Source organism: Homo sapiens, chromosome 5, assembly GCF_000001405.40.
Source record: "Homo sapiens chromosome 5, GRCh38.p14 Primary Assembly".
Classification (NCBI taxonomy): Eukaryota; Metazoa; Chordata; class Mammalia; order Primates; family Hominidae; genus Homo; species Homo sapiens.
This window is the reverse complement of record NC_000005.10, coordinates 133,040,309-133,055,774: the sequence shown is the minus strand read 5'-3', so window position 1 is coordinate 133,055,774 and position 15,466 is coordinate 133,040,309. Positions and strand designations below refer to the sequence as shown.

Sequence of the window (15,466 nt, the reverse complement as noted above, 5' to 3'; positions counted from 1 at the left end):
ACCCGCTTATTCTATACTCTCACTGTATTCTGTACTTTTCCACCTTGCCCTTTACCACAGTTAGTAATTACTACATATTTTTGTTTAGTATTTGGTTTAATCCACCAGCCATGTCCATAATGGCATGACCTTATTTGTTCACCACAGTACCTCCAGTGCTTAGAAAAATGGCTACCACATCAGAGGCACTCAACATCTGATAAAATGAAGGAAGCCTAAATTGGGTGGAAAATCAAGGGTCTCTTCTGGATGAGACTCCACTGGCTCCTCAAAAACCTAATCCAGATTGTTACACCCATATCTGAAACGAGGTACTTCCACCATCATAAACCCTCTAAGACTTGCATCTCATTTCCACTCTCATGTTAAAACAAACCCACAACATGCAGTCTTTTTTACATATGAGCTCCAAATCCATTCCTCCATAACCGCTACCAAAAAAAAAAAAAAAAAAAAAAAAAAAAAAATCAACCTTCCTGCTACCATTTTCTATTTAGCCCAAGACTCCAAAACAGAGTAATCAAAGTGAATCAAAATCATACAGTTCAGAAATCACTTGAAATGTATGGCATGCCTGTAAGTTAATGAAAACTATGAAGGAAAATATAAAGAAAACATGTAAGGAAAATTATTTAAATGGAATTTTCTTATCACAATTCCGTGGTGTATGGGGTCATATATATCACAATGTCTTTGAGGCAAATTTTTTATCTGCAACAACTCAGTTTCAAATAGAATTCATGGTATAATTGTTGTAGCTATTGTCTTTCTAAAAGAAAAACAGGAGCATGTGATAATAATCTAAAAGAAAGGATAGGAACACTGTTCTTCCCCATACTTGGGATTCTCTTCCTGTGCGCCCTTTGGAACTAAAGCGTGTTCAATCACAGGGCAGGAAAGGACCAAAACACTAAATACATTAACTCAGCGCTTTAGCCTTTTCAGTTCCTTAGGGGAGACATTTTATAGACCAAGAAAACACGGATACAAAGATATTCTCAAATACTAAAATGCTTAAAAACAAACTTTAATGCTTAAAAAAAAACTTCAGGGCACAATACACTTCCCTGGAGATGCCAAGTTAGACTACCCATTGTTAAAAAGTACAAATAGGGAAAATAAACTGCTAAAGGGCACAGGGCTTTGGGGGAGTGATAAAAATGTTCTAAAATTGATTACAGTAATGGTTGCACTGTTTTGTGACTACACTAAAAACGATCACTTCATCTGGTTAAATTGTATAGTATATGAATTAAACCTTAATAAAGCTGTGCCAGGTGCGGTGGCTCACTCCTGTAAACCCAGCACTTTGGAAAGCCGAGGCAGGCAGATCACTTGAGGTCAAGAGTTCGAGCCCACCCTGGCCAACATGGTGAAACCCTGTCTCTACTAAAAAAGACAAAAATTAGCCAGGCGTGGTGGCGCACACCTGTAATCCCAGCTACTCGGGAGGCTGACGCAGGAGAATCGCTTGAACCCAGGAGGCGGAGGCTGCAGTGAGCCGAGATTACGCCACTGCACTCCAGCGTAGGGAACAGAGTAAGACTCCTTTTCTCAAAATAAATAAATAAATAAATAAACCTTAATAGGGCTGTTAACAAGACTAAACTCAGCAAAGGGACAGCAAACTACCGTTTTGGCTTCTGGGATGAGTTTTCAGGGGAAGCACCTGGGTTAGGAGGTGGGGGGTGCGGAAATTTGACAAGTGGAAAGGAAATGTGAGACTTCTGAACAATCTAGTTTCGCTGAAACCTGCTGAAGAAATGTGACAAAAATTGAGGGTGAAAATAATGGACCTTAGAATTGAGCCCCTGGGGCCGGGCACCGTGACTCACGCCTGTAATCCTAGCACTTTGGGAGGCCGAGGCGGGAGGATCACTTGAGGTCAGGAGTTCGAGACCAGCCTGGGCAACTCGACAACACCCCGTCTCTACTAAAAATACAAAATTTAGCCGGGCATGGTAGCACGCGCCTGTAATCCCAGCTCCTCAGGAGACTGAGGCAGGAGAATCGCATGAACCCCAGAGGCCGAGGTTGCAATGAGCCGAGAGCATGCCACTGCACTCCAGCCTGGGGCGACAGAGCGAGACTCCATCTCAATCAATCAATAACAAGTGAGCCCCTGGGCAGGGCACGGTGGTTCATGCCTGTAAGCCCAGTACTCCAGAAGGCCGAGGCTGGAGGACTGCTTGAGTCCAGAAGTTCGAGACCATCCTGAGTGACATAGTGAAACCCGATTTCTACTAAAAATAAATAAAATTAGCCAAGCATGGTGGCGCACGCCTGCAACGCCAGCTACTCAGGAGGCTGAGGTGGGAGAATCACCTGAGCCAGGAGCCAGGGAGGTCGAGGCTGCAGTGAACCAAGATCGCACCACTGCACTCCAGCCTGGGCAGCCAGAGTGAGACCCTGTCTGTCTCAAAAAAGAAAAAAAAAAAAAAAAAAAGAAGAGAGACCCTGAATGGCAAATAATACAGAACTTCTTACAAGATTTTGTCTAAGAACACGACAACGGATTAAAATGTATCTACAAGTATTCAAAAGGCAGACACTGTAACCAGTGAAAGACCTGAGTGACCCACCATTTTTTAGAACTGTGTCTATGCTGGTCCCAAAACTTACTATGGGTTCTAGAAGTCAAGGCGGGCCCTTGAGCCACTAACAATTGTGGCCAACACACTGGTTAGAATGCATTATCGTTAAAGTGCAACCCTATTGAGGGGTTAACGCGCACAAAACAGAGAGTGACCCAATATAGCACAATATCCCGAAATAATGTGGAAAACAAAAGCGATTGCAAAGTTATCATAAGAGCACCGATTTTATTAAATTCCTATCCGTGCCAACCCAATCTCAAGACCCCGAGTCCATCCGGAACCCGTGCCTGAGGCTGCTCCAGCTCGCTCTCTTCCGGGCGCTGCCCCGCCCCCACTCACGTGGGACGCTGACCGCTCCACGGTCTCGCGGCTGGCAAGCCCCAGAACCCGTTCGATTCAACTATTATTAAGCGCCTGCTGTGTGCAAAGTTCTGAGCTTTCTGTTGGACTCAAAAGACTCAGTACGACCTGGGCCTGGTCTCTGCCCTCAAGAAAAGGACCGCGATCCGTTTACATCCTAGGCCTGCAGTCCTTCCAGTTCCTACCCGTGCCCTCCGCTGGTCCGAGTACCGGCCAGAAGCCTTTCTTCGGCCGACGGGCCACCGGGGAAAAGGCCCTCGCGCTTAGCACACACCCACGCTCATAGTGGGCCGCGGCCCCTAGTGTCCTAATACCTACTGGGGGTCCCTGACCTACCGGGACCTCGGCTCGGAACGGAGGCGACTCCTCGGCCCGCGTTCCCCAAGCAGCGAGGGTCCCAGACTGGAACAAGCATTATCTCCTAACCCCAGTGCACGCGGCAGGCCCGGCCCACACTTACGGCGTGCAGCGGTCGCTATACTCATTAGCGATAGTCTCGATGCCGCCGGCGCGGGCCACAGCGACGTAGCAGCTCTGGAAGCCCAGGTCTATGCCCACCACCGACATGGCGCCGGCTACTGCTCGGGCTCGGGCCCGGGTCCGGCCACCGAGACAGGACACGGACCCCCGGCGGGGCTAGCGAGTGGAAAGCAGGCCTCTTGGGCCGAGGCTACTGAGGGGCTTGCGGTGTCCACGCGAGCGCCTAAGTCCTTCCAGTGGGTACTGCAACCGAGAGCGCTGCTCAGGCCGGCTCCGGCTCAGTGGCCGCAGAGGAGGCGCCGGTAGCGGGGGCGGAGAAGATCTCGAAAGATCTCGTTGCGACGAGAGCGGAGCCGCAGCACCAGAGCTACGAAAGAACGGGATGTTCTCGCGATATCCCGGCTCAGGCGCTTTTCCCCTTGAGGCCCCGCCCCCAGTACGTCTGAATACGTCACGTCCTGGCTCGAGAACCTGGGAAAGGACTGGGTGGCTGAAAGATGGCTGGAAAGCGCATTTAGCCAACCGAGCCTGCGCATGGAACCTGCGGCGCTGCACAGCTGCATAGAGATGTGGAGCACCTCCCTTTACCGTAGAAAGTAGGCGAGCCAGCTCGAGGCACTATACTGAGGAAGCGCTGCGGCCTACTTCCGCCGTTTTTCTTAACATCAAAGAAACTTCCGGTAGTGGGGTGTCTTGCATTCCACCGTGTCGGTGCCCCAGAATGAGACGCAAGCTGATCTGCAGATCCCGCAGGGTGCCTTCTGCTCTTTTCGGGGCAGGTTGGCCGGTAGGGGAGAAGGCCGCCATTGGAACGCGGCCTTTATGTCGGGTTCTCTCAAGAGTCTAAGATCGCACCCTCACCAGCGGAGGGAAGGAGCCCACTCCCAGCCACACCGCTTTGTTTTCTTTCGCTTAGCCTTGTTGCGCCGTTCTCTAAGCCACTCATGTCCTTAGATCAGATTGAGGGGCCCGCAGGATTTAAGCCTTTAATCCACAGCACATTCCAAGCACCTACCCGGTGGTAGGCCCTAACAAGGAACACAGGCAAGTGACACGCTGCCTGGCCTGAAAGGTCCGCTCAGACCTTTACATGAAGTTAATAAATGTTAAGCTTCAGGGCCCCTCGCTTGTATGGCCTCCTGGGAGAATAGATAGTTGCTGAGTTGTGGAGAGGGGAAGCCAGCTTGAGATTAGGAAGCAAATCTATGTAAGCATTTCTAATAAATTACCCAGAGAGATCTAAGGAGAATCTGAATCTCCAAGTCTCTAGTAATGTGTTGTGATTTGTCGTTTTAATTATTTGTTTTGTGTATTTGTAGGGCCCCCCAATGGTATATAAGTTTCACCTCTGCAAAACCTGGATCATCCCCATCATGAGGGTGGCTAAACAAGTAAAGGTGACCCCAGTACAGAATGGCGAGTGCTATATGCACAGAATGGTGGAGACTAGGACAACTTCCCAGAAAAGGAAAAGGCTGTGTTCAAGTTTGGAAAACTAGCAATAGAGACCATAGTTTAAGGACTAAAAAGAAATTCTCCGTTGCTGGAGGGTACATCATGAGTTGAAGGTCTCAAGGCTAGAGTACCTGCCCTTCAGCCATTTTAAAAGTGAATGAGCAAAGAAGAAATTACATTGCCCTGGTATGCCCTTCCCTTTAAATACCTGCATTTCCTGCCACCTCCGGAGGTACTTCACTCTATAGGAGCAACCCCAAACCCGGGTTGATTACCATTAAAACTTGCAAATGGCCACACTGTTCTCACATTTTGCCTAACTAAAACCTGTTAATTCTTCAAAGACAAGTACCAGGTGCTACCTGTAAAAGGGTACTGGGAATAAAAAGAGTAGAGGCAGCCAGGAACAGCCTTTGGAAAAACGAGAGCAGGGACATATTTGTACATTGTATACCCATGTTCATAGTAGTTTATTCACGGTAGCTAAAAGGAGGAAACAATCCACATGTCCATTGACAGATGAATGAGTTTTCTAAATTTAGTGTATACGCGTAACAGTACATTATACAGCTTTGAAAAGACAAAGGAATGAAAGTCTGATAAATGCTACAGCATGAATGAACCTTGAAAATACGCTAAGTGGAAAGCCAAACAAATCAAAATTAATTTTTTTTAATTTTTAATTTTATATTCAAAATTTAATATGATTCCACTTGTATCAGGCACCTACAATAAACTACATAAAGACAGAAAAGCGGTTTCACAAGTAGAGTGAAATGGAGAGTTAAGGGATACAGAGTTTCAGTTTGGGAAGATGAGAAAGTTCTGGAGATAGATGCTGGTGGTAGTTGCATAACAATGTGCATGATCAGTGACAGATTTGTACATTTAAAAATGATGAAAATGGTAAATTTTATGTATATTTCACCACAATTTTTTAAAGTTTTTTTAAGTTAGGTTGACCTTGACCTTCCTTCCTCTGTTTTTCTCCTACCTAGGGGCAATATCAATAATACCAAGCACACTGTTGACCTTAATTATGACAGAGTCCTGTCTCCATCTGTTTATCTCAGTTGTTAATCACTGAGCAAACAACCCGAGCTGCCTAAGCTAAAGTGTCCAGTGGACCTAAAAGATCACTGTCTGTGTTACTGCCTGTTTCTGCCTTCCTTCTATTGGAAGACCTCCCTAGGTCTTAGCTAAGTTGATGAAAATTACACCCATATCTTATTATGTTCCAACTTCATACCTCAACTGCCTTGTTTGCCTTGGTACTGCTTTCAGTTTAAAATACCACCAGCCCTATCAATCTTTTTAATGATTTGTCCTTCTCAAAATAAAACATAACTACCATCAGTCACAGAGAGTACTCATCCTCCTATAAATAGTTTCCTGGATCATCAAACTTATAGCTTAAGAGATTATTCTGGGATATTTAAATAAATGAAGTCAGGAAAAGGTTATTTTAGAATCCTGAAGAATCTAACGTGGCAAGTTTCCAAGTATCACAGTTGCGAACCAACGAAGTGTCCAGAATATTTAATGTTGGAGGCACTGTGTTCGGAGAACAAATTCTTTCCATTTGGCAGAGTATCTTAGGTATTTAAGTATTTTAAAAGCAGGAAGTTGTTAAATGCCACTCTCAAATACAACGATTAAATTTAGTCCTAAGCAATCACAGAAGTGTTTGTTTTTAAATATACAGTGTTCATAGGCTGCCCAACAAAAGACAAAAGGTTCTCCATCAGCTGGGGACTCATATTTCTCCCTGACAAGTGTCCAGTGGAATCCTGCCCTACGCTCTGGAGCAGCTTCTGCAATTTTTTGCTTCACAAGGAAACTACCTGCTCAGATAATGGTGATTTTCTGACTTCCCTGATCTTACAGTGAGTGGAGCAATGCTTTTAGTCAAAGCAACAACCCTTTCTTAAACACCAAAACTCCAATAACTCAATAATAATGGTAATTACCATGTCTCTGGCATTCCTACAGCATATGCTAGCATTACGCCAGACACTGTATTGATACCAATATAATTCCTTTACTCGTCATAGCAAGCCCATCAGGTAGGTGATATTTTTCCTATTTTATAGAGACCTGATAAGGTTAAGGTACTTGTTCAAGGTCACACAATTTTCTCACAACTACACTGCTTCTCTATTTCTTCTTTTAGATGATCGCTTTCTGTCACCCAGACTGGAGTGCAGTGTCACGTTCATAGCTCACTGCAGCCTGGGCTCAAACAATCCTCCCACCTCAGCCTCCTGAGTAGCTAGGACTACAGGCATGTGCTGCCACATACAACTCATTTTTTCATTTTTTTGTAAAAATGAGGATCTCTTAGCCAGGCACAGTGGCTCATGCCTGTAATCCCAGTGTGTCCAGAATTGGTAGGTTCTTGGTCTCCCTAACTTCAAGAATGAAGCTGCAGACCCTCGCGGTGTTACATTTCTTAAAGATGGTGTGTCCAGAGTTTGTTCCTTCTGCTGTTCGGACGTGTCTGAAGTTTCTTCCTTCTGGTGGGTTCGTGTTCTACGCTGACTTCGGGAGTGAAGCTGTAGAACTTTGCAGTGAGTGTTATAGCTTTTAAAGGCAGCGCAGTCTCAAAGAGTGAGCAGCAGCAAGATCTATTGTGAAGAGCAAAAGAACAAAACTTTCACAGTGTGGAAGGGGACCTGACCAGGTTGCGCTGCTGGTTGTTGGGGAAGGTGGGGGGCACGCAGCCTGCTTTTATTCCTTTATCTGGCCCCACCCACATCCTGCTGATTGGTCCATTTTACAGAGTGCCAATTGGTCCATTTTACAGAGAGCTGACTGGTCCGTTTTGACCGAGTGCTGATTGGTGTCTTTACAAACCTTTAGCTAGACACAGAGTGCTGATTGGTGCATTTACAATCCTTTAGCTAGACACAAAAGTTCTCCAAGTACCCTACCTGATTAGCTAGACACAGAGTGCAGATTGGTGCATTTACAAACCTCCAGCTAGACACAGAGTGCTGATTGGTGCGTTTACAAACCTTTAGCTAGACATAGAGTTCTGATTGGTGCGTTTACAGTCCTTTAGCTGGACAGAAAAGTTCTCCAAGTCCCCACCAGACCCAGAAGCGCAGCCGGCTTCACCTCTCAATGGCACTCACCATGGGACTTTGTGGCATCTAGCCGGGGCACTCCAGCAGCCCAGAGGGAGTTCATCCCCCCATCAAGCCCAGCAGGCACCAGTCGGCAGCGCTGAGTGCAGGCCACTGAGCCCTCGCCCACGCGAAACCCACTCCCACCCGGATCCCACACCAGGCCACTAGTGCTGCGGGCAGCCCCGGCTCCTGCCTGTGCTTCTCCCTCCACACCTCCCCTCGAGCAGTGGGAGCCTGCTCCAGCCTCGGCCAGCCCCAGAGAGGGGCCCCCACAGCGCAGGGGCGGGCTGAAGGGCTCCTCGAGCATGGCCAGAGTGGACGCCAGGCTGAGGAGGCGCCAAGAGCGAGCGAGGGCTGCTAGCACGTTGTCACCTCTCATCAGCACTTTGGGAGGCTTAGGCAGGTGGATCACCTGAAGTTGGGAGTTCAAGACCAGCCTGACCAACATGGTGAAACCCCTTCTCTACTAAAAATAGAAAAATTAGCTGGGCCTGATATCACGCATCTGTAATCCCAGCTACTCAGGAGGCAGGGGCAGGAGAACCCCTTGAGCCCAGGAGGTGGAGGTTGCAGAGGTTGCAGTGAACTGAGATGGTACCACAGCACTCCAACCGTAGGTGAGAGAAAGAGACTCTGTCTCAAAGAAAGAAAGAGAGAGAGAGAAAGGAAAAATGGAAGAAAGAAAGAGAAGTAGGAAGGAAGGAAAGAAAGAAAAAAAAAAAGAGGCCGGGCGCAGTGGCTCATGCCTCTAATCCCAGCACTTTGAGAGGCCCAGGTGGGCAGATCACAAGGTCAGGAGATCGAGACCATCCTGGCTAACACAGTGAAACCCTGTCTCTACTAAAAATACAAAAAATTAGCCAGGCATGGTGGCGGGTGCATGTAGTCCTAGCTACTCAGAAGGCTGATGCAGGAGAATGGCATGAATCTGGGAGGCGGAGCTTGCAGTGAGCTGAGATCACGCCACTGCACTCCAAACTGGGCGACAGAGCAAGACTCTGGGGAAAAAAAAAAAGAGGAAGGAAAGAAAGAAAGAATGAAATGAATGGGGGTCTCACTACATTGCTCAGACAGGTCTTGAATTCCTGGCCTCAAGCAGTTCTCCCACCTCGGCCTCCCAAACTGTGTTTCACAGGACAGCGTTTGTTCTAGGAGATATCGATAGGTTAATGTTACCATGTTTAAGGTTCTGAGAAGTCCTGTGGGAAACCTCTTTAACTTTGTATAATCATAAATAGAAATATAAGAAATACTGGGGGCTGGGGGCAGTGGCTCACGCCTGTAATCCCAGCACTTTGGGGGGCCGAGGTGGGCAGATCACGAGGTCAGGAGTTCGAGACCAGCCTGACCAATATGGTGAAACCCCTTCTCTACCAGAAATACAAAAATTAGGCGTGGTGGCACACACCTATAACCCCAGCAACCCAGGAGGCTGAGGCAGGAGAATCACTTGAACCCGGGAAGAAGAGATTGCAGTGAGCTGAGATCGCACCACTGCACTCCAGCCTGAAACACAGAGCAAGACTCTGTCAAAAAAAAAAAAAAAAAACACAACTACCAGATTAATGGCTGGGCACAGTGGCTCACGCCTGTAATCCCAGAACTTTGGGAGGCCGAGGAGGGCAGATCACAAGGTCAAGAGATCAAGACCATCCTGGCCGACATGGTGTAACCCCATCTCTATGAAGAATACAAAAATTAGCCGGGTGTAACACTGCGCGCCTGTAGTCCTAGCTGCTCAGGAGGCTGAGGCAGAAGAATTGCTTGAACCCAGGAGGCAGAGGCTGCAGTGAGCCGAGATCGTGCCACTGCACTCCAGCCTGGGCAACAGAACAAGACTTCTCAAACAAAAAAAAGAAAAAAGAGAAATACCGGGTTAAAAATACTGGGAGAACATAGTTTAGTCTTCTGCTTTTTTTACTCAAGCTTTTTTTTTTTAGTTGGAGTCTCACTCTGTTGCCCAGGCTGGAGTGCAGTGGCGTGATCTCCGCTCACTGCAACCTCTACCTCCTGGGTTCAAGCGATTCCCCCTGCCTCAGCCTTCCAGGTAGCTGGGATTACAGATGCCCACCACCATGCCCAGCTAATTTTTTTGGGGGGGGGGTTTGAGACGGACTCTCACTCTTGTTGCCCAGGCTGGAGTGCAATGGCACAATCTCAGCTCACCGCAACCTCTGCCTCCAAGGTTCAAGCGATTTTCCTGCCTCAACCTCCCGAGTAGCTGGGATTAGAGACATGCACCACCACACCCGGCTAATTTTGTATTTTTGGTAGAGACAGGGTTTCTCCTTGTTGGTCAGGCTGGTCTCAAACTCCTGACCTAAGGTGATCCACCCACCTTGGCCTCCCAAAGTGCTGGGATTACAGACGTGAGTCACTGCACCTGGCCAATTTTTGTATTTTTAGTAGAGACAGGGTTTCACTATTTTGCCAGGCTGGACTCAAACTCTTGACCTGAAGTGATCCACCCACCTTGGCCTCCCAAAGTGTTGGGATTACAGGCCTGAGCCACCTCGCATGGCCACTCAAGCATTTTTCTAAGCATAACGCTTTTTTATTTGACACAGGGTCTCATTCTGTGGCCCAGGCTGGAGTGCAATGGCTTGATCATGGTACACTGCAACTTCAACCTCCCTGGCTCAGGCCGTCCTCCTGCTTCAGCCTCCTGAGTAGTCAGGCCACAAGTGCATGCCACCACACCCAGCTAATTTTGTAATTATTTGTGTATATGGGGGTCTCTCTTTGTTGCCCAGACTGGACTTGAACTCCTATGTTCAAGTGATCCTCCCACCTTGGCCTCCCAAAGTGCTGGAATTACAGGCATGAGCCACCATGCCAGGCCCATAATGCTCTTTTGATACAAAAACTACCATCACAGTTCACTTCTCTTTTTTTTTTTTTTTTTGAGATGCAGTCTCACTGTGTTGCCAGGCTGGAGTGCAGTGGCACGATCTTGGCTCACTGCAACCTCTGACTCCCTGGTTCAAGTGATTCTCCTGCCTCAGCCTCCTGAGTAGCTGGGATTACAGGCACGCGCCACCACGCCCAGCTAATTTTTGTATTTTTAATAGAGACGGGGTTTCACCATGTTGGCCCGGATTGTCTGGGTCTCCTGACCTCGTGATCCACTCACCTCGGCCTCCCAAAGTGCTGGGATTACAGGAATGAGCCACCGCTCCCGGCCTCACAATTCACTTCTAACTCCAAATTGGCTAAAATCCCAGGGTCTTTACTCCACTCTGGCTATCAAACTGTCGGCTTACATAACAGCACTATGATCTCATCCAGTGGCCTTTTCTCTTAAGCCCTATTTTTTTGTCCTTATTCAGGCTGGTTCACTTAATGTATATGGCTTGCAGCGTCATTAGTAGTCCCAGTGCTTTCCCTCTTTGTAACTTTTAAATGCTGGGGGAGGCTGGGTTCAGTGGCTCACGCCTGTAATCCCAGCACTTTGGGAGGCCGAGGCGGGCAGATCACGAGGTCAGGAGATTGAGACCATACTAGCTAACATGGTGAAACCCTGTCTCTCCTAAAAATACAAAAAAATTAGCCAGGTGTGGTGGCGGGCACCTGTAATCCCAGCTACTCGGGAGGCTGAGGCAGGAGATGGCATGAACCCAGGAGGCGGAGCTTACAGTGAGCCGAGATCCTGCCACTGCACTCCAGCCTGGGCGACAGAGCGAGACGCCGTCTCAAAAAAAAAAAAAAAAAAAAAAAAAAAGTGCTGGGGGAACACTGCACAGATTTCTCTGGGCCATATAAGCTGACATTCTGAAATTTTAAACCTTCCGTCTAGGCCCCTTGATCACCAGTGATTTTCCTGACATGACTCACATTTTCACTGGCTCCAACACTCCTCACCTAGCCCCAGACTAGGTTTTTTTCCACCTCTGGCAGCTAACGTTCCAACTCCACCCCCAAGTCCTCCCTATTGGCCTAGTCTGCTGATGCCCAACATGACTCCTCCTCAGCCCAGCTCTGCTCTAGCCTGGCCTGTCCCTGTCCTGTCCCTAAGTATAGAGGCCCCTACAGGGAACTGTACTGCAGTAATAGCAGCTGCCATCTCATTCCTGCAACTTACAAAACTTTTTTTTTTTTTTTTGAGACAGAGTCTCACTCTGTTTCCCAGGCTTGAGTGCAATGGCATGATCTCAGCTTACTGCAACCTCCGCCTCCCGGGTTCAAGCGATTCTCCTTCCTCAGCCTCCCAAGTAGCTGGGACTACAAGCGCTCACTACCACACCCAGCTAATTTGTTTGTATTTTTAATAAAGATGGGTTTTCACCATTTTGGCCAGGCTGGTCTCGAACCCCTGACCTCAGGTGATCCACCCACCTCAGCTTCCCAAAGTGCTGGGATTACAGGTGTGAGCCACCTCGCCCTGCCCAGAGTGTGAATATTTGCAATTTGATAAAGGATCAGTGTGATGGTTAATACTGAGCGTCAACTTGATTGGATTGAAGGGTGCAATATTGATCCTGAGTGTCTGTGAGAGTGTTGCCTGGGAAGATTAACATTTGAGTCAGTGGGCTAGGGAAGTAGATGGTGGGCAGGCTGGGAATTAGATGGTGGGCGCCATCTAATCAGCCACCAGTGAATATAAAGCAGGCAGAAAAACATGAAGTGATGAGAGGGGCCTAGCTTCCCAGCCTACATCTTTCTCCTGTGCTGGATGCTTCCTGCCCTCAAACATCGGACTCCAGGTTCCTCAGTTTTGGGACTCGGACTGGCTCTCCTTGCTCCTCAGCTTGCAGACAGTCTATTGTGGGACCCTGTGATCATTTAAGTTAATACTTAATAAACTCTTCTTTATATATATATGAGGGTCCTACTTATACTAAAAAGATCACTTTTGGCCGGGCGCGGTGGCTCATGCCTGCAATCCCAGCGCTGTGGGAGGCCGAGGCAGGCAGATTGCCTGGGGTCAGGAGTTCGAGACCAGCCTGGCTAACATGGTGAAACCCCGTCTCTACTAAAAATACAAAATAATTAGCCAGGAGTGGTGGTGCGCCCCTGTAGTCCCAGCTACTCAGGAGGCTGAGGCAGGAGAATCGCTTGAACCCGGGAGGCGGAGGTTGCAGTGAGCCGAGATTGCGCCACTGCACTCCAGCCTGGGCGACAGATCAAGACTACGTCTCAATACATACATACATACATACACACACACACACATACATAAAATTAAAAAGTCACTTTTAGCAGTTTTAGAATAGTACCTGAAATATCTCCATTAGGGCTTCTCTCTCATGTTCTTTCCAAGGGCATCCTCTCTCAAAGTAAAATTCCTTTCCAAGGTTAGGAGACAAAGTAACAGTCTGAGATCTCCCCGTGAATGAAGACAAATGATAACCACAGAAATGAGGGGAGTTTAGGAAGAAGTATGTAATACAGTCACATGCACAAGAAGGAAGGCTCAAAGGGGCAAAGGCAGACAAACCTTACCAACTTTACTGTTCTGTTGAAGGGGCTGACTGTGCACTATCTAATCCATTAGGGTAGGCTTGTTTTTGGAGAGTGGCGAAAATAATTTAACATTAATAACAGAACCCTTTTAAAGGAATGGAAAGTTATGTGGCAGCATATTGAATCCCTCTAGAGATCCTACCATAGGCCAAATCAGGTTGCTGTTTTAATTCAAAACCACCAGGAGGTTGGGCACAGTGACTCATGCCTGCAATCCCAACACTTTTGGAAGCTGAGACAGGAGGATTGCTTGAGCCCAGTAGATGGAGGCTGCAGTGAACCCTGTTCATGCCACTACACTCCAGCCTGGGAGATGAAGTGAAACCACCTAAAAATAATAAAACAATCATGCCACTGCACTCCAGCCTGGTGACAGAGTGAGACTCCGTCTCAAAAATAATAATAATAAATAAAAATAATAAAACAAAAACCCACACACACCATGAGAAGATAAGAAGGAATCAAAAGATAGGACTCTGAATACCATAGCCTAACTATAGAATACAGGGTACCTGGACCAACCAAACTTTCCTCTAGGTGCATCATTACTCTTCATTTGTTTGGGTCTGATTTGGTCAAATCTTAACTCAGTATTCAGTGGGTACATGGAGTAGCTTCAAAGGGACTTTGAATATGAAGTTGCAAGCCAGATTGCAAAGGTACTATGAACTTAAAGTTACAAGCCCAATTGTGGGTGTGTGGGCATGCAGGCACATGTAACATAGGGAGAGACAATGCCTGCGTGCCTGACCTAGGGAGGAGGGGATAAATTAAGAAGATTGGAGAAGGAAGGGACAGATCAGAAAACAAAGAATGAAGACCTGTGGTCCCTGGCTGGTTTTGGAAGGCTGCTCTTAACACTTCTGCCTGGCAGTTAAAATCCCATAAACTCACATCTTGAACTTCTGGGAGATCATTCCCAGAAACAGGCCATTCTTTTCCTAGTGTAGGCAGGCCCCTGCATGCCTGTTCCTGAGACCTCACTGCATGCAAGGATGAAGAGGAGGAGGTGCAGCCTCAGTTCAAGGAATATGGCCTAAGAAGCGCAAGAGTGAAAAATGGTGGCTGGGTGAGGTGGCTCATGCCTGTAATCCTAGCACTTTGGGAGGCCGAGGCAGGTGGATTGCCTGAGCTCAGGAGCTCGAGACCAGCATGGGCAAGATGGTGAAATCCTGTCTCTACTAAAACACAAAAAATTAGCCAGGCGTGGTGGCAGGCGCCTGTAATCCCAGCTACTCAGGAGGCTGAGACAGGAGAATTGCTTGAACCTGGAAGGCGGAGGTTGCAGTGAGCCAAAATCATGCCACTGCACTCCAGCCTGGGCGACACAGCAAGACTCCATCTCAAAAAAAAAAGAAAAGAAAAGAAAAGAAAAAGAAAAGTGGCAATTAAAGGGAAACGTACATAAAAGAACCAGGCCTCCTCTTTTGAGAACCACTGAAGTCAAGGATTTCATTTATTTGCCTTCTCTGAGTACACAGGTTTGCTGATTCTATCTCTCCCCACCTAGACACACACACACACACACACACACACACACACACACACACACACAATCACTCAGCATTTGCTTTGCTTTCAACTTCCTTAAGTTAGTGTATTTTTCTAGGACTTTCAATGGAAGTTCTTTTTTTTTTTTGAGACAGAGTTTTGCTCTTGTTGCCCAGGCTGGAGTGCAATGACGCAATCTCAGCTCACCTCAACTTCTGCCTCCCGGGTTCAAGCGATTCTCCTGCCTCAGCCTCCCGAGTAGCTGTTATTACAGGCATGCACCACTACACCCGGCTAATTTTGTATTTTTAGTAGAGACGGGGTTTCTCCATGTTGGTCAGGCTGGTCTCGAACTCCTGACCTCAGGTGATCTGCCTCGGCCTCCCAAAGTGCTGGGATTACAGGCATAAGCCACCGCGCCTGGCTTGCTTGACCTTTCAATATCATACTAAATCGTTGTCTAATAAGTCCATCTAATAGGCATGTGCT

General features: G+C 47.5%; 1 protein-coding gene across 1 annotated transcript in view, besides 7 other annotated features; it reads right to left on the bottom strand.

The window, feature by feature from the left end:
* HSPA4 (heat shock protein family A (Hsp70) member 4) overlaps nt 1-3,762 on the bottom strand; it is a 54,437-nt gene extending 50,675 nt beyond the window's left edge. The window contains exon 1 of the mRNA NM_002154.4: nt 3,418-3,762. Coding sequence (NP_002145.3) covers nt 3,418-3,524 — 107 coding nt within the window. The 5' untranslated portion in view covers nt 3,525-3,762. The remainder of the gene's footprint in view (nt 1-3,417) is intronic.
* Nucleotides 1,586-2,548: an enhancer, noted in NCBI's record as "H3K4me1 hESC enhancer chr5:132388919-132389881 (GRCh37/hg19 assembly coordinates)". NCBI's record gives its function as "activates a minimal SCP1, AML or CMV promoter by ChIP-STARR-seq in naive H9 embryonic stem cells {active_cell/tissue: H9 hESC(naive)}" and the evidence as "EXISTENCE:reporter gene assay evidence [ECO:0000049][PMID:30033119]".
* Nucleotides 3,513-4,475: an enhancer, noted in NCBI's record as "NANOG-H3K27ac-H3K4me1 hESC enhancer chr5:132386992-132387954 (GRCh37/hg19 assembly coordinates)". NCBI's record gives its function as "activates a minimal SCP1, AML or CMV promoter by ChIP-STARR-seq in naive H9 embryonic stem cells {active_cell/tissue: H9 hESC(naive)}" and the evidence as "EXISTENCE:reporter gene assay evidence [ECO:0000049][PMID:30033119]".
* Nucleotides 3,787-3,966: an enhancer, noted in NCBI's record as "active region_23100". NCBI's record gives its function as "activates an Ori minimal core promoter by ATAC-STARR-seq in GM12878 lymphoblastoid cells {active_cell/tissue: GM12878}" and the evidence as "EXISTENCE:reporter gene assay evidence [ECO:0000049][PMID:35858748]".
* Nucleotides 4,157-4,206: an enhancer, noted in NCBI's record as "active region_23099". NCBI's record gives its function as "activates an Ori minimal core promoter by ATAC-STARR-seq in GM12878 lymphoblastoid cells {active_cell/tissue: GM12878}" and the evidence as "EXISTENCE:reporter gene assay evidence [ECO:0000049][PMID:35858748]".
* Nucleotides 4,277-4,326: an enhancer, noted in NCBI's record as "active region_23098". NCBI's record gives its function as "activates an Ori minimal core promoter by ATAC-STARR-seq in GM12878 lymphoblastoid cells {active_cell/tissue: GM12878}" and the evidence as "EXISTENCE:reporter gene assay evidence [ECO:0000049][PMID:35858748]".
* Nucleotides 11,824-12,118: a silencer, noted in NCBI's record as "tiled region #5371; K562 Repressive DNase matched - State 9:DNaseU". NCBI's record gives its function as "represses a minimal TATA promoter and a strong SV40 promoter by Sharpr-MPRA in K562 cells {active_cell/tissue: K562}" and the evidence as "EXISTENCE:reporter gene assay evidence [ECO:0000049][PMID:27701403]".
* Nucleotides 11,824-12,118: an enhancer, noted in NCBI's record as "tiled region #5371; HepG2 Activating DNase unmatched - State 5:Enh". NCBI's record gives its function as "activates a minimal TATA promoter and a strong SV40 promoter by Sharpr-MPRA in HepG2 cells {active_cell/tissue: HepG2}" and the evidence as "EXISTENCE:reporter gene assay evidence [ECO:0000049][PMID:27701403]".